The sequence below is a fragment of the Homo sapiens genome, chromosome 5 (genome assembly GCF_000001405.40).
Source record: "Homo sapiens chromosome 5, GRCh38.p14 Primary Assembly".
Taxonomy (NCBI): domain Eukaryota; kingdom Metazoa; phylum Chordata; class Mammalia; order Primates; family Hominidae; genus Homo; species Homo sapiens.
The window spans coordinates 171,254,425-171,272,977 of NC_000005.10; the positions used below are offsets into that span (position 1 = coordinate 171,254,425).

The following is an 18,553-nucleotide window of genomic DNA, read 5'->3' on the forward strand; positions in this document are numbered from 1 at the left end:
AGAAGTAATAATGTTCATCATAACCCTAGCAGCCTGGATAGTGAGCTAAACAAACCCTTTGAAGATTACATTTTAATCAAGTAGACTAGGAATACAAAAAATAAGTCTTTACTCCCCTTCCACCCACCTTTACAAATCTTACTGGAAGGGTGTTCAGAAATTAAAATTTGTGTTTGCTAAGACTTTATTCTGTTGGGGGTTTTAAGAAGTAATATATGTACATAATATATGTAAACCATTGCAGTTTTTTTGGACACTTTTCCATGCATTAGTAAGTTGTCTGACAGTAGCCGAATGTAACTTGCAGAAAATTATTGAAAGTTATATTCAGGATAATAGCAATCAGGCGTTGGATGTTCTTTATTAAACTCTTTTCAGGCAGTAAATTTTTAAAAAAATCTGTCATTTTCTAAAATTCTTTTGCTAAAACTGTTGACTATGGAAAAACAAACAACAAAAAGGAATGTTTTTAGTCTGCTGCTATTATTAACATTTATTATCTGTATCTTTTGGCTCAGTAAATGACTTCACCTATTTCTTCCATAAGCAGATCTTTAACAGGGTCACTTAGGTAATTGGGCTGCTTAAACAGATGTGCTGGAAGAAAATTATAATATTTAGTATTTGTACTAAATATCAAAAGTATTTTGACAAGTTTCTCTTTAAGATAGTTTCTAAAGCCTTACCCTGGCTAGAGATGTTTTGTACAAATTATATATAGCCTGCCTGATCTACCAACATGCCACAGAGAATCACAGTCAACAATGTGGGGAAAGTCAGGGCAGTGGAAGTGGATGCACACTTTGTATTTTGAGGGCTTAAATCAAATTGTCTTGAAATTAAAGCTGTATTTCTGCAGCTTTCAGTACAGAGAAAAAGAGGAAAGTGAAGCTGTGTCAGTTTTAACATTAGCTATATCACAACATGTTTAAGAAAGATAGATGAAGTCATTTGCATTAAAGTACAGCATTGAAATACTACATTGTGTTTATTTTTACATTTTTGCATTAAAAAAAAACATGCAGTAAAAGCCAAGTTAAATTTCATATTAAAGCAAGTTCTAGTATATGTATTGAGTTCCTGGTAGTCACATACCTTGTTCACATCTACACCATACTTCATAGTATGATTTGTAAGGGGAGGGACTGTGGGGTGACAGTTTTACATTTACTTTTTCTTCTTAATGCAGCTGGATCTAAGTAAAATGTTTTGAAGTTTATCAAAAATTCAATATACTTTTAAAACATATAGGGTCAGGGTTGGGGGAGAAAATACAGGTATAGTAAGTAAGAAGTGACCTATGAAGAAAGCGTTGTGAGGTTATATGTTGGTTGACTGTGATTAAAATGTGGGGCTGGTTTAAGTTGTAAATGGTGGCTGATTGCTGTGTAACTATGTACATGATTGTTAGGATGGCTGTCCTATATTTTGTATATTGGAATAAAAATTTCTATAAATTATTGTAACTAAAAAAGTAAATATTCTAAATTAAATCCCACTTCTTAAATCACATGGCTTCTGTCTTGGAAATTTTACCTTTAAAAGATTATTTAAGACAGGAACCAGGAGGCTTGGGAATAGGGAAAAAAGGAAATGTTGTATTATATGGGTCTTGTGGTAACCATCGGTATAGGGTTTTTTCTTTCCTTGATGGCAGTAGAAAGACCACATTTTCATAACATAACTACTCTTGATACTTTCTTTAAAAACACTTTTTATCAAAGATTCTATCATGAGGTATTTGACTGGGAGCTGAGAGGCTAAAGCGCTCATGTCCTGGCTCTTCAGTGAATTTAACTGTGTGACCTTGGGCAAGTCACTTAACCTCTCTGTGCTTCAGTCTCACTGTCTTTTAAAATGGGAGTAATACCTACCTTACAGGGTTGTTGTGGGGATTAATTAGAGATAATGTCTGTAAAGCATTTAAGGTTCTTGAAGAAGGCGCTATATAGATACAAAATAATATCTATTAAAGTTGGTTTATTTGTGGAAAAAAAGAAGGAAGTTTATAGCAATAAATGCTAATATCCAAAAAAGTGGAAAGATTACAAATTAACAATCTGACAGTGCACCTCAGGGAGCTAGAAAAGCAAGGAAAAACCAAACCCAAAATTAGCAGTAGAAAAGAAATAGTAAGGATCAGAGCAGAGCTAAATGAAGTAGAGACTAAGAAATAAAAAATACAAAGGATCAACAAAACAAAAAGTTGGTTCTTCTTCAAAAAGGTAAACAAAATAGGTAAACCACTAGCTAGACTAACCAAGAAAAGACCCAAATAAAACCAGAAATGAAAAAGGAGGTGTTACAACTGATCACAGAAATATGAAAGATCATCAGAGACTATTATGAACAATGATATGCCCACCAACTAGAAAGCCTAGAAAAAAATGGATAAGTTCCTGGAAACATACAAGGTTCTGAGATTGAACCAGGAAGAAATAGAAGTCCTGAACAGACCAATAACAACTAGTGAGATCAAATCAGTAATTTAAAAAAAAAAAATCCCAGCAAAAAAACTCAAGACCAGATGGATTCAAATCCAGACGTACAAACATACAAAACCAAATATACAAAGAAGAGCTAATACCAGTCCTCCTGAAACTGTTCCAAAAAATTGAGGAGGAGGGAACTCTCCCTAACCCATTCTATGAGGTCACTATCACCCTGGTACCAATATCAGACAAGGACACAACAAAAAAACTACAGGCCATTATGAACATAGGTGCAGAAATCCTTAACAAATGCTAGCAAATCAAATCCAACAGCATATCCGAAAGATAGTACACGATGATCAATTGGGATTTATCCCAGGAATGCAGCGTTAATTCAGTGTACACAAATCATTAAATGTGATACATCACATCAACAAAATTAAGGACAAAAACCCATATCGTCATCTGAATAGATGCAGAAAAACCATTTGATAAAATCCAGCATCCTTCCTGACAAAAACCCTCAACAAACTAGGCTTAGAAGGAACATACCTCAAAGCAATAAAGGCACGTATGACAAACCCACAGCCAAAATCATACTGAATGGGGAAAAGTTGAAAGCATTCCCTCTAAGAACTAAAACAAGACAAGGATTCCCATTTCCACCACTCTTATTCTACACAGTACGAAAAGTCCTAGCCAGAGCAGTGAGGCAAGAGAAGAAATAAAAGGCATCCAGATCGGAAAAGTGAAAGTCAAATTGTCCTTCTTTGCTGATGATAGATCTTATATCCAGAAAAACCTAAAAATTTCAAAAAACTGAGATTTGATAAATAAATGCACTAAAGTTGCAGGATAGAAAATCATTGTACAAAAATCAATAGTATTTCTATATACCAATAATGATCTATCCGAGAATGAAATCAAGTAGGCAGTGCCATTTATAATAGCTATAAAATACCTAGGAAGCCAGGCACGGTGGCTCACGCCTGTAATCCCAGCATTTTGGGAGGCTGAGGTGGGCGGATCACCTGAGGTCGGGAGTTCAAGACCAGCCTGACCAACATGGAGAAACCCCGCCTCTACTAAAAATACAAAATTAGCCGGAGATGGTGGCACATGCCTGTTAATCCCAGCTACTCAGGAGGCTGAGGCAGGAGAATCGCTTGAACCCAGGAGACAGAGGTTGCAGTGAGCCGAGATCGCTTCATTGCACTCCAGCCTTGGCAACAAGAGCAAAACTCCATCTAAAAAAAAAAAATACACACACACACACACACACACACACACACACACACACACACCCCTAGGAATGCATTTAACCAAGAAGGTGAAAGATCTCTACAAGGAAAACTGCAAAACACTGATGAAAGAAGTTGAAGATGACACAAATAAATGGAAAAACATCCTATGCTCATGGATCGGAAGAATATTGTTAAAATGTCCATATTGCCCAGAGTAATGTATAGATTCAGTGTAATCCCTATCAAAATACCATCCTTCTTCACAGAATTTTTTTTTAAATCCTAAAATTCATGTGGAACCATAAAAGAGCCTGAATAGCCAAAGTAATCTTGACCAACCAGAACTCAGCTGTAGGCATTGCATTACCTGACTTCAAAATATATTACAAGGCTATAGTAACCAAAGCAAAATGATATTGGTATGAAAACAGACACATAAACCAATGGAACAGAATAGAGAGCCCAGAAATAAAGTCACATACTTACAGCCAACCGATCTTCAACAAAGCTGACAAGAATACACAATGGGGAAAGGACAGTCTCTCCAATAAAATGGTGCTGGAAAAATTGGGCAGCCACATGCAGAAGAATGAAACTGGACCCCTATCTCACCATGTAAAAAAATCAACTCAAAATGGATTAAAGACTTAAAGCCCAAAACTGTTAAAAAAATACTAGAAGAAAACCTAGGGAAAACTCTTCTGAACATTGATCTAGGCAAAAAAATTATGACAAAGACCTCCAAAACACAGCAACAAAAACAAAAATTAGACAAATGGGGCTTAATTAAACTAAAAACTGAATCACAAAAGAAATAACCAACAGAGTAAACAGACAACCTGTTGAATGGGAGAGAATATTTATAAACTATTCATCTAACAGGAGACCAATATCCAGAATATATAAGGAACTCAATTAATAGGAAAAAACAAATAATTCCCTTTAAAACTGGGCAAATGACATGAATAGACATTTCTCAAAAGAAGATATACAAACAGCCAAGATGTATGTGAAAAAATGTTCAACATCACTAATCATCAGAGAAATGCAAATCAAAACCACAGTGAGATACCATCTTACCCCTGTCAGAATGGCTATTATTAAAAAGGCAAAAAAGAGCAGATGTTGTCAAGGATGCAGAGAAAAGGAAACTCGTACACTGTTGGTGGGAATGTAAACTAATACAGCCACTATGGAAAACAGTATGGAGATTTCTCAAAAAACTAAAAATAGAATTACTGTTCAATCCAGCAGTCCTACTACTGGGAGTATATCCAAAAGAAAATAAGATAGTATATCACAGGACTGCCTCACTCAAATGTTTATTACATCAGTATTCACAGTAGCAAAGACATAGAATCAATCTAAGTATCTTATCAACAGATGAATGGATAAAGAAAATGTGGTATACATACACAATGGAATACTGTTCAGCCATAAAAAAAGAATGAAATAATGTCTTCTGTAGCGACATGGATGGAACTGGAGAAGTGAAATAAACCAGGCAAAGAAAGACAGATACCACATGTTCTCATTCATATGTGGGAGCTCAAAAATTTAATCACGTGGAGGTAGAGAATGGAAAGATAGATAACAAGGGTCAGACATGGTGGCTCACGCCCGTAATCCCAGCACTTTGGGAGGCTGAGGTCAGTGGATCACTTGAGGTCAGGAGTTTGAGACCAGCCTGGCCAACATGGTGAAACCCCATCTCTACTAAAAGTACAGAAATTAACTGGGTGTGATGGCAGGCGCCTGTAATCCCAGCTACTCAGGAGGCTGCAGCAGGAGAATGGCTTGAACCTGGGAGGTAGAGGTTGCGACAAACCGAGATTGCGCCACTGCACTGCAACCTGGGCAACAGAGCGAGACTGTCTCAAAAATCAATAAATAAATATAAAATAAAAATAAAAATTAGGTCGGGCGCAGTGGCTCACACCTGTAATCCCAGCACTTTGGAAGGCCCAAGTGGGCAGATCACTTGAGGTCAGGAGTTTGAGACCAGCCTGGCCAACATACTGAAACCCTGTCTCTACTAAAAATACAAAAATTAGCCGGGCGTGGTGGCAGGCACCTGTAATCCCAGCTAGTCGGGGAGGCTGAGGCAGGAGAATCGCTTGAACCCGGGAGGTAGAGGTTGCAGTGAGCCGAGATCACGCCACTGCGCTCCAGCCTGGGTGACAGAGTGAGACTCCATCTCAAAAAAAAAAAAAAAAAATTATCTGGGCATGGTGGCACACACACCTGTGGTGGCGGCTACTCAGGAGGCTGAAGTAAGAATAGCTTGAACCCAGGAGGCGGAGATTGCAGTGAGCCGAGATCACTGCACTTCACCCTGGGCAACAGAGCAAGACTCCGTCTCAAAAAAAAAAAAAAAAAAGAGATAGATAACAGAGACGAAAAGGTGAGTGGGGGCAAGGGAGAGGATGAAGAGAAGTAGGTTAAAAGGTACAAACATGGTAAGATGGAAGGAAAAAATTGAATGTTTGATAGCAGAGTAGGGTGACTATAGTTAACAAAAAGGTATTGTAGTCAGGTGACAGAAACCCTAAGTATCATATATTGATCAGAAAGCATTATATACTTATAACAAAACTTCACATGTACACTATAAATTTGTACAAATTTAAAAAACAAAGTGGGGTGTTGGATAGAGAGTGTCTAAATGTAGGCTGATGGAGGAAGGCCTCTAAGATTAGTCATAGCAGGGATGGATGCATTTCAAGCAGAAATGAAGGGTAGCCTAAAAGCCTAAACAAGGAAAGGTAAGAGCAAGCAAAAAGTTGAACCAACTAGGAACTACTAGATCATTTCCCATGAAGTTCATTATTAATAAAACGTATATAAAGAACAAAAGAGGATATGTTGTTATTTTGGACACATTATTGAATTGGATGTCATGTGGTATGAATGTAATATGCGAGTGACACATTTAGGAAATATTTAGAACTTAGAGATTTTACACATTAGCTTCACCCCCCACCCCCCCCAAAAAAAAAAACCAAAAGAAAAAAAAAAAACCCTAAAGAGAGAAGAATGCTTTGGTGTTTAATGGATTGAAACAGCCAGGAAAACAAATGGGAAGGGAAAACCTTGTATGTGTTGGGTGCTGTATTACAGTTTTTGCCCACTTAATCTTAATGCCAAACCTTACAAAGCAGGTAATATTAATCACATTTTACAGAGGTGCACCTGAACCTCAAGAAGTCAAGCATCTAGGAAATAATAGATTCAAACCTAGACTCACCTATTTCCAAAACCACTGCCCCACCCAAATAGGCCTTTTGTCTCTGGAATTGCCCTTCAGACTATATTTTTCTAAGACCTTCATTCTCCTTTGTGTTGTGGTGACAAGTTTTGAGCTTAAGGCAGATTTCGGTTCAGCCTCATTCTTCCTGATTCTCAGTTAAGCAATTCTTTCCTATACAGTTAACTTTTCAGCACAGCTTTCAATGATGGGTCTTAGTGAGCAGTAGGCTATTAATGATGCATGTGCTTCCTGTGGAGACTGGTTCCAGAAGAGAAGCACTTGATTGTTTTCAATGCCAAACAACAAGTTGCTACAGAGGACAAAATGCCTATTAGGCTTAAAAATTATTTCCAAAATTGCAGATGTAATCCCTTTTAAAATATTTTAAACACCAAGAACTAGGACAAAATATGAAAATTCATGACCTCTGCCTGTGTTTTATGTCTGGAAAATATCATGATTTGAATCTCACATAGTAGCTTGAGCTGCAAATAAAGAAAACCAATAGTTAACACATAGTCTTCAGCACCATTCATTCTGTTTTTGACCAAATGCCCTGTGATCCTTATGATTCCACACTTTAAAATCTACCTTGAAAATAACATTTATCTTTTTCAAAGTCCTCAACCATAAATCAACCATAATGGAAGCTCTTCTTGCTTTTATTGCGAGGATATATGCTCCAATCTTCGTGGCTAAAGTGTTTACCTGGCTTTTTCACAGCTGACTCAGTAGATGGGAACCTTTTAATGCAACCTGCATGGCATGTGGTCACCAAATCTATGTGAAGTCTTTATAATTTTTATATGATTGATAGCATATTGCTTTTCACTGGTGAGGGGAACCATATCTGCTTCCTGCTTATCTTTGTAGATGTCGAGTTACATAATCCATTTACTTTCGTGACTGGGACTTGAAATGTAGAAATATGAAGGAAAAGAGAAAAGCAACCAGGCTCAACAAGTCTGTATTTGACTTTTAGGCCTAGACATTTTCCATTTATACTATGCTACATCCCAGAGTTGTAAAACCAAAGCTCCCTTTTCTACAAAGTAACCCAGTTAATACGGAGAGATGCAGAAGAAATTAACTAATTAATCAGTTATTGATTAATCAATCAAATGCCATGTCTTTAGGAGGGAAAGCTCTATTTTTGGCTTTTATTATTTTTAATTGACACTTGATAATTTTTTATATTTATGGAGTACCATGTGATATTTGATATAGGTATACACTGTGTAATGACCATTTAGGGTATCCATCACTGCAAACATTTATCATTTGTTTGTGTTGGGAACATTCAAAATCTGCTCTTTTAGCTACTCAAAAATATATAACAAATTGCTCATTATAGTCACCTTATTAGTGCTACAGAACACTGCAACTTATTCCTCTTATCTGGCTATACTTTTGTATCCATTAACCAACCTTTGGAAAAGCTCCTTTCTTAAAAGCTTTGTAGTTCCACAGTTTTCCAAAACTATGGTCCACGGCTGTCTTCTAGACCTCCATTCAACCCCTCATCCCTCATGATCCTGTATTAGCTACCATTTTCCTCTGTGTTAAATGCATACGACTGTATTTCAAAACTTGCCCCAAAACTTCCCTCTTTCTGTTTTCCATGACATTTCTCTCTAAAATGATAAATGTGAGCTTTTAAACTGTAGTGTTTTATCAATGCTGGGTTTTACTACTAAACACAACTTAAGACTTCTAAGAAAACTTTCTGGGGTTAGCTTTAGCTACTCATTCTTTAATTAATTCTGCTGATATTTCACCTGTAATCTACGTCAGGCATACATATGTCTCAGAACCTCAGAGATGAATAAGATGAATGAGAAACTACTCCCTTAGGAAGTTTATAATCTGCTTCCCAACCCTACTCTTTTAGTCTCCTTCTCCTCTTCTGAGTCTACCTGCTCACCATTTTAACTGTTGCTCTTGTTAACTGTTTCTCTTACTAATCATAAACTCCCAGGGATCATGTGCAAATGTTGTCAGCCAAAAAATGTGGGTGGTGTCATGCTGATTCAAAACCATGGACTTCTGATAAGCAACTTAATCTCTAAGCTTCAGTTTTCTCATTTAAAATGCAAATTATACTTACTATACCAAGTAGTTGTTAGAAGTAAATGAGATAATAATTTTAGTGTACAAAGGAGATAATAAATGGTTGCTCTATCACTTACTTGTCAGTAACACCTCCATTAACCTTTCATATTAAATGTAAATGTCGCACTCCACTATTGGATGCCCTCAAGTAAGATCCTCAACCTGCTCTGTTGGCCTTCTCTTACATCTCCTCTACACATTCACTCTCTGAAACCAAAAGTTCTACTTCTTGAATATACCCTTCTCTTTTTACCATGAGGCAAACCAGTAGTTACTGCCATGTTTTGAGTGCCCATTGTGATTCAAGAAGGTGTTTTAGCCTGGGCATGGTAGCACACATCTATAATCCCAGCACTTTGGGAGGCTGAGGCTGGCAGATCGCTTGAGCTCAGGAGTTCAAGGCCAGCCTGAGCAACATGCAAAACCCTGTCTCTACAAAAAATACAAAAAGTAGCCAGGCATGGTAGTGCACAGCTACAGTCCTAGCTACTTGGGAGGCTGAGGTGGGAGGATCACTTGAGCTCAGGAGGTCAAGGCTGCAGTGAGCCAAGATCACACCACTGCACTTCAGCCTTGGTGACAGAGTGAGAACCTATCTCAACAACAACAAAAAGGTGTTTGGTGCTTACATATATTTTTGCTTATTACCTAGTTTTAATGTAGTGGTTAAGAATACAGATCCAGAAAAAACAAATGTCGTATGTTCCCATTGATAAGTGGGAGCTAAGCTATGAGGACGCAAAGGCATGAGAATGATACAGTGGACTCTGGGGACTCAGGTAGAAGGAAGGTAGGTGGGGTGAAGGATAAAAGACTACACAATGGGTAGAGTGTACACTGCTTGGGTGATGGGTGCACCAGAATCTCAGAAACTGCCACTAAGGAACTTATTCATGTAACCAAAAACCACCTATTCCCCAAAAATTATTGGAAAAAAAAATACAATAAAATTTTCAAAAAGAGTACAGATCCAGAGTTCAACTCCTTGTTTATTTTCATACCTTGGCTGTGCAGTCTTCTAGCTGTGTGACAATGGACAAGTCACCTAAGCTCCCTAAAACTCAGTGTCCTCACCTGTAAATGGAGATAATAACAGTAACTATTATAGTGCTGTATGAGAATTAAAAATAATAACATGTAAAGCAGTTAACACAGTAACTCATAGTAAGCTCTTAATAAATGTCAGCTTTTTTATTACCAATGAACTTCTTGTCATTTTCTTCTCATTCAACTCTGCAAGGTCTTTTATAAATGGTGAAAAAACGTGAAGTAGCTCTTTCAGATCAGCAACTCAGAAAGTAATTGGCAAAGATAGGACTTGAAACCAGAACTGTCTGGCTCCAAAATCCATATCTTTCCCACCACACTGTTGCCTTGTGCTAATCCCTCTACCTGAAAAGTGTCCTTCCTTATGTCTAATTGGAATAATCTTTTGAAACCCTATCAGGTGCTGCCTCCTTCACCAAACTCTCCTTGATCCCCATCTAAATGTGATCCGTCCCTCAAAATCCTCAATTTGTCATTTTTACACAGCATTATGCTACAGTGACTTGCACACTAAACCATGAGTTCTTTGACACCAGGATGAGGTTAGACCACTGTTTCCTGTAAAACAGAGCACTTTGCACTAAGTAGATACTTAATAAACAGTCACTTGAACTGAAAAGAGGTTGTTAAGGTCGCAGATGGAAAAATCTGCCTAATCTATCCAGGAATTATTTATTTATGTGTCTCTAGGCCAGGACCTATAATAGACACTGGGTTCAAAGAGTTATATAAGACAAATTCCTGGCTGGATACGGTGGCTCATGCCTATAATCCCAGCACCTTGGGAGGCCAAGGCGGGTGAATCACCTCAGGTCAGGAGTTTGTGATCAGCCTGACCAACATGGAGAAACCCCATCTCTACTAGAAATACAAAAATTACCCAGGTGTGGTGGCAGGCACCTGTTAGCTACTCAGGAGGCTGAAGCAGGAGAATCGCTTGAACCCAGGAGGCAGAGGTTGCAGTGAGCCAAGATCACGCCATTGCACTCTAGCCTGGGTGACAATAATGAAACTCTGTCTCAAAAAAACAAATTCCTGCCCTCAAAGAACTTGCAATTTGATAAAAGCACTTTGAAACCAGAAAGTAATTATTTTTAATGGAGCCGTTAGAAAATCAAATGGAGCAAAAACTTAAGTAATGCAAATGAATTCTTATTTACTATTTGTACAGATACAGTTGTCTCCTCCAGCTGCTGTACCAGTTTAGACTACATCGTCACCTACCTCTTCAAGCACATAGCAAAAGAGGGCAAGAAGCCACTTCGATGCAGAGAGGCTACCCAGGCTGGTCAGAGACTATTACATTTTATGCAGCAAAACCCAGATGTCCTGCAGCAGGTAACTGGTGGTTGATCACCTGGCTTAAGAAACAAGTGTTCCCAGAAGCCATACCTGGCCCCGAATTTATCTTAGAGCAGCTGGTCTTGCCAAGACTTTTTATACTGGTAAAAAATATATATATATATTGTCTGGGAGTATTTTCCCTGAACGTGGAGGGAAAACACAGGCCTTAGGATTACCCACCCTCAAGAAATACCTGGGTTGTTCATCTCACCTCAGTGGAGCTAGAATTCAAAAAGAGGATAGTTTTTCCAGAGGCCTGAGAAAAATTAGACAAAACCGGAACTGGAAACAGTCAGCCTCTGATTTCTCTCCTGGTGACTCTGATAATGTCATCTTAAGTTTGCCTTATGAATACTCCGGTATATTGGGAAACTACAATTTGCTGGGCTCCTAGTGTATGCCAGGCAGCTTGCTAGGAATTTCTCATTCATCATATCATAGTTGCTATTTTTCCCATTTTAAAATGAGAAATCTTGGTTCAGATAGGTTAGGTAATATGTTCAATAACATCTAACTAATAAGTAATAAAACCACTATTTGTTTATTTTCTAGTGTATGTTCTAACTAGCTAATGGGTTAGGTCCAAGTTTAATACCATTTTTTAAAAACTCACTTGTGCAAATAATAGTAACGGCATGCATAAGAAATGAATATTGCAAGGTGCAGTACCTGTAGTACCAGCTGCTCCAGAGGCAGAGGCAGGAGGATTGCTTGAGCCCAGAAGTTCAAGACCAGCCTGGGCAACATAGCAAGACCCCATCTCTAAAAAAGAAGATTTAGGCCAGGCACGGTGGTCATGCCTGTAATCCCAGCACTTTGGGAGGCCAAGGCAGGCAGATCACCAGGTCAGGAGTTCAAGACCAGCCTGACCAATATGGTCAAACCCCATCTCTACTAAAAATACAAAAATTAGCCAGGCGTGGTGGTGCTCACCTGTAGTCCCAGCTAGTCGGGATGCTGAGGCAGAAGAATCGTGTGAACCTGGGGAGGCAGAGGTTGCAGTGAGCTGAGATCACACCACTGCACTACAGCCTGGATGACAGAGCAAGACTCCATCTCAAAAAAAAAGAAAAAAGAAAATTTAAAAATTTTTAAAAAAACATACATGCCAAAAATATTTCAAAAAGAACAATACCATTTTTTATGGCTATACCATCACTATATTTTCTTTTCTTTTTTTTTTTTTTTTTTTTGAGACAGGGTCTCACTCTGTTGCCTTTGCTGTAGTGCAGTGGCACAATCTGGGCTCACTGCAACCTCTGTCTCTCAAGGTCTCAAGCGATCCTCACACTTCAGCCTCTTCCTGAGTAGCTGGGACTACAGGTGCACACCACCACATCCAGCTAATTTTTTTTTTTTTTTTTGGAGAGAAGGAGTTTTGCCACGTTGCCAGGCTAGTAGGCTAGTTTTGAACTCCTGAGCACAAACAGTCCTCCCACCTCAGCCTCCCAAGGTGCTGGGATTACAGGTGTGAGCCACTGCACCTAGCCCTATCACTGTGTTTTCTAATTCCACTAAATTTGGAAAGTATCTTCATCCTGTTTTCAGTTGTTTTCTTTTGCCAAATTACATCCATAATAGTTTGTAATTTGCAAATGTAAACACATCAATAGTGTGTTGCTATATGACCGTTAGGGAGCAAATAAGTTGCCTGCAATCATCAGAAAATGTTGGCCGGGCGCAGTGACTCACGCCTGTAATCTCAGCACCTTTGGGAGGCCAAGGCAGGTGGATCATGAGGTCAGGAGTTCGAGACCAGCCTGGCCAATATGGCGAAACCCTGTCTCTACTAAAAATACAAAAATTAGCTGGGCATGGTGGTGTGTGCCTGTATTCCCAGCTATGTGGGAGGCTGAGGCAGGAGAATTGCTTGAACCTGGGAAGCAGAGGTTGCAGTGAGCGAGATCACACCACTGCACTCCAGCTTGGCGACAGAGCTCCATCTCAAAAAAAAAAGAAAAAGAAAAAGAAAATGTCACTCTATATCAGTAAATGATGAAAATAGAATGAGACAGCTATGAAAGAAGGTTCCTTCCTGGCTGCCATTTTTTGCTAATATTTAAATGAAATTATGTAAACTTTATTTGTGGTAATGTTTCAGTTAACCAATTATTTTCCAGGGATAATGGATGTCATTCATATTTTGTGTAACTAGGCAAAGGGCTGTAGACTTATAATTATTTGGTGTGACCCTGGAACTGTTACAACATGTTGGTAATATAAAGGAAAAAGGAAGGTATCTCACATTTAGTGAGAACTTATTATGTGTCAGGTGCAAGAGCTATTAAGATTCACGAGATATAATTTCTCTCCTTACAAAATTTCTTGCCATGGGACAAAGAGACAAGTAACTCACCAGTTATTTGATCATTTCATTAATATAGTGATGACAAAGAAAGTAAAATTCAAGGGGAGGGAGTATTGTCAAAGAGTTCTCCTCATTTAGACCCCACAACAACCCTGAAAAATGGATATCAGCATCCCCATTTTACAGATGAATAAATTGAGGTACAGAGAGATCAACTGGAAAGTGGTAGAGTTGGAATTTGAAGCAAGGTCTGTTTGACTGAAAAGCGCAAGTTCTTACTACTCACACCATTGGTATTCAAGGTGAGGATAATATCTCAGCTTCACCTGGAATGGCTTTTCAAAATATACATGCTATCAAAATGTCAGCGCGTCTCTCCTCCCTCCCCACCCCACCCAAATGCAGTAACCACTGGTACTGGTGGGAGTGTGTCACAGCCCTCATGTGTTTTGCATGAAGAAGGTTGAGGATCACTGACTTAAAGCATGTCCACACTGAAGAAAAAAAAAAAATTCATGGATTGGCTAGGAATCAGACCCAGCCTTTACCCCACCATGGCAAGGGACAAGTCTGCCACCAAATCACTCCTTCCAGCACTCAACCATAATCACAGTATTGTCCCATAAACTTTGGCAGAAACTTTTAAGTTGGTAGAAAATTTTAGCACAAATCAACAGGCTATGGCCCTAGACAAAATACCATATCATGTTTTGCAAAGGAAGTAATGTGGTTGGGCAGGAGACAAATCAAGTTTGTCTTTACTCAGAATTAGCGTGCATTTGTTGGTTTAAGTAATTTCTGTGTGTTAATAATACTTGTTAATCCTTCACTTTATAGCATATGACTAAGTAGTGATATATCTTTATTAACAGTGGAATACTTTCTATTTATTTGGAATGTAGGCTTTCAGATAGCATTTTAAATATTAATGACTGGGCTCTGGTAGTCAGCATAAATATGATTTGCATTAGCACTAGGTTATATCATCTTGAGTGCCTCTGATGTCAGCTATTAGGTATAGTAATATCTGACATCATCTCCTTAGGTTACTGACAACTTTGACCTCTATTCTTATGCACAGTTTCTGTCGTCTCAAAAGCTCTTTTGAATTGATTTGAAATTTTGACTCTTCCCTTTATGAGGCAGTAAAATTGATAATTATTCAGATGGGAACAGAGTGCTGAGTGAAAAATCAATTCCACCCGCTCTCTGCTGCGTATAAAATTACTTCTGAGTCGGCTGGACTGAACGGATGGCCAGAGTAAAAGCGGCAGGCAGGAGTAGTGGGAAGAATTAGCTGGACAGAACTAATAGCCTGAAGGGATGGACTTGAAAAAGAGGGAGTGGGCCAGTTGGGGGTTATTATTAGCAGGGATGGGTCCCATTGATCATCTGTTTACATCAGCTTTCCAAGACCTTATAAATCAGCCCTGAAGAGGAGCAGAACCCAAGATTCAGCCTGTTACCAGTGGGATTTTGTATTGGATTATTTTCATTTTCACACTCAGATGAAAAGTGAGCCATTGATTATTCATTGGTTGCCCATTAAATGCTGTTTTTAATAGATGATTTGCCTATTGCAGAAGGTAATGAACAAGGTTGCTGCTTTATAACTTGAGGTTTCAGTTTTCAAGGCATCTGTGTCGGTTAAGTAATGCCTAACCCTATTAAAAGGAATGGATTACAAATTGCTTAACAGTGCTGAAAAACTAGACCCTAATGACTAATTGTGCTTGGAGTTTAGAGAGGGTTTGTCAGCTCTTTAAACTAAACTGATGCAATGATACTGCAATTATTTACTAGTTTGAACTGTTTTTCCCCCCAACCTGGTCCTATTTTGCTGGAAGCATAATTGCATGAGGAATGTTAATTCCAAATTGCAAAAGTTATCTCCTCAAGCTTCCGTAGTAAAGGAAGCATGAACCCCCACATAAAGGTTTTCCAACATCCTTACAGGCCTTTCCATTTGTGTATAGCAGCCTGGGAAAGATATTTTATGTGCCTCCCACCTGGAATTGTGTTTATTATTCTCTTCTATGTGGCTTTAGAGCTTCAAAATTTTTAAAAATGTTCTCCAAATAATCCATTTTTCATATTTTGCAAACAACTCTAACTTTGCAAGCATTAAAATTTAGTCCATATGAAGATCCATTGTAAGTAAGTGAATCTATTTGAAGTAAAAACAATTGCGTCACCAGCGTTGCTTTGACCTAACAGTTGAGAAAAACCCAGTTTACAGAAATGAAGGTGGAAAATTCTCCAAGCATTTTTATGTTATTAGAAGGATAAACTAAAAATTTAAGGAGAGCCCAACCGTAACAGTGATCAGATTACTAATTACTACTGATTAGTAGCAGATAAGACACTGATCTGCTACAATAATTCGGAAGACAACATTTCTATGTGAAATTTTTTCAGTTTCGTCACTGATCAGTAAGTATTTGTATCTATAATACATAGTTATAGATACATAGCATTCATTTCGTTATATCACAGTGAAAGATTTTGCCCAAATTAGGTAATGAAAGGGTGTGTTTTATAGAATTAGAGGGGCATCTCAGAGATATGAGTAATTCCTTATAAGATTATTAGAATAAGACACTGATCCTGAAAGCTTCTCTAAATCAGAATTCCAGTTAAAACTAATTGCTCTAGAAAGAGTAACACCTTCCACAGAAATTAGCAAGAACTATTACGCAATTAATTTGTTAAGAGTGTATTTTTAGCAATTATCGTCTTGAAAACCTTAATATATTGCATAGAGGAATTAGAGCAGTTAGGGTTGAATTCATCTTACTCTTGTCTATTTATCTATTTTGCTCAAATCAACTGTACTGAAATCCAAAAGAAATTCTAATTGTGATTTTCTTTCTCTCCCTTTTCTCCCTTTTCTCCCTCCTTTTTATGTTATTTCTTTTTTTTTTTTTTTTTTTTTTTTTTTTTTTTTTTTTTTTTTTGCTAACATGGCATTTAACTACAAATTGTGAAGAGCTGTCAGGAGCTATAAAAATCATACTTCAGTAGGGACTTAAGCTGAAAGAACATTCACCCTTTTCCTCAATCAGTCAGTCAGTCAATGAAAATTGCTTTTGTATAGTGCTCTTCATGACATGCATCCCAAAGTGAATTACAGCAAAAGGGAAATCATCTGCTCTTTTTTCATTTCTGTGTTTAGACTGAAATGATATTGCTCAACATTTTGACATACTAACCAAGACATCTTTCATACTTAAGATTCCATTCCATAATACTGAGTAGGAGAAAATGCAGTCGCATATTTAACTGATGTTGAGATTTTGGCCTACAGGAACCTTAGCAAGACTATTACAGTCAAAAACACTTAAGCAGATGAAATACAGTCATATCTCTTGTCCTCTTAAAAAGAATAGTCAGATTTTCTAATGTTAATAAAGACATTTCCAGTGATCCTTAAATAAAAAATATGCTCTTTATGTAACCCATTAGCTCTCTCTGGTTGATTTACAACTTTATTCTCAATAATACAGTAGTATATTGATATCAAAAACAAACTGAAAGAACATTCACAACTGGATCAGGTAATAACGGATTTAAAAAGTTTAAAGGAAGCCAGGGATATGTCATTAGACACTGAAATTGGAAAATAGGAACTCAAATTTCATAACAGAATTTTTGCACATGGTGCTACAATCTTGGTTTTAACAGCAATCAATGCATATATTATGCATATACATAGTGGGAAGAAAAATAATATTGGCAAAATGTAAGTGCTTCTATTCACAATAGCACATGGAATCAACCTAAATGCCCATCAGTGGTTGATGGGATAGAAAATGTGGTACATATATACACCATGGAGTACTACACAGCCATCAAAAAGAAAGAGATCATGTCCTTTGCAGCAACATGGATGGAGCTGGAGGCTATTATCCTAAGCGAACTAACGCAGAAGCAGAAAACTAAATACAGCATGTTCTCACTTACAAGTGGGAGCTAAACATTGAGTACACATGGACATGAAGGGAACAACAGATACCGGGGCCTACTTGAGAGTGGAGAGTTGGAGGAGGGTGAAGATCAAACAACTACCTATTGGGGGTACTGTGCTTATTACCTGCGTGACAAAGTAATCTGTACACCAGACCCCTGTGACATGTGGTTTACCTATATAACAAACCTGTACATGTACCCCGAACCTAAAATAAAAGCTTTAAAATTTAGAAATTTAAGAAATAAAATTTTTCAAATGTAAGTGCTTACTATCTGCAAGCACTAGCTTAACTTACTTACATATGCATTATCTGGTTTAATCATGACAGTATCTTTGTGAAGGTGTAGTATTATCATTACCATTTTACAGATATAGAAACTGAGGCACAAAAAAAAATAGGAAACATTCCCAAGGTCACAAAGTCAGTAACTGGAAGAACTAAAATTTTAGCTGAAATCTGTTTAACTGTGGGGTTCACATGCTTAAACACAAAGCTATCTCTGTTCCTTTGTTTAGTGGCTTCTAATCTAAAGTATGTATGTTTTGAGCACATAAAATGAGGCAAGTTGAGCTTCCAGTAAGTCCCACTGGGGCCATCCTTAAGGTAGAATGGTTTAAAGCAGTCATTCTATACCCCAGCATTATACTACAGCCAGGACAAAACAGATGGGCAGTGACCCAAAGAGGCAGCGGGCAAGAGAGAAGGAAGTGGCTTTGCAGTTGCTGCAGAAAAAGCCCTGTGGCTCCCACCACCACCAAGACAGACCTAACCAAGCTTCCACTTTCTTACGCTACACCCACACCCATTCATTAATTTTATAGCCAGATGTTGAAGGTATATAATTT

General features: G+C 37.9%; 1 protein-coding gene across 13 annotated transcripts in view; it reads left to right on the plus strand.

Moving 5' to 3' along the window:
• The window catches only part of RANBP17 (RAN binding protein 17), a 437,998-nt gene that overhangs the window by 392,407 nt on the left and 27,038 nt on the right, over window positions 1-18,553 (plus strand). For 10 of the 13 annotated variants that reach the window (XM_011534627.2, NM_022897.5, XM_017009738.2 and 7 more), the window contains one exon: window positions 11,257-11,423. The exons of 1 other annotated variant lie outside the window; for it this stretch is intronic. In XM_011534627.2, the coding sequence (XP_011532929.1) occupies window positions 11,257-11,423 (167 nt within the window). Of the gene's footprint in view, window positions 1-11,256; window positions 11,424-16,726; window positions 17,195-18,553 lie in introns of those variants that run through there. 2 more of the 13 variants (XM_017009741.3, XM_017009742.3) reach the window with 1 other exon arrangement.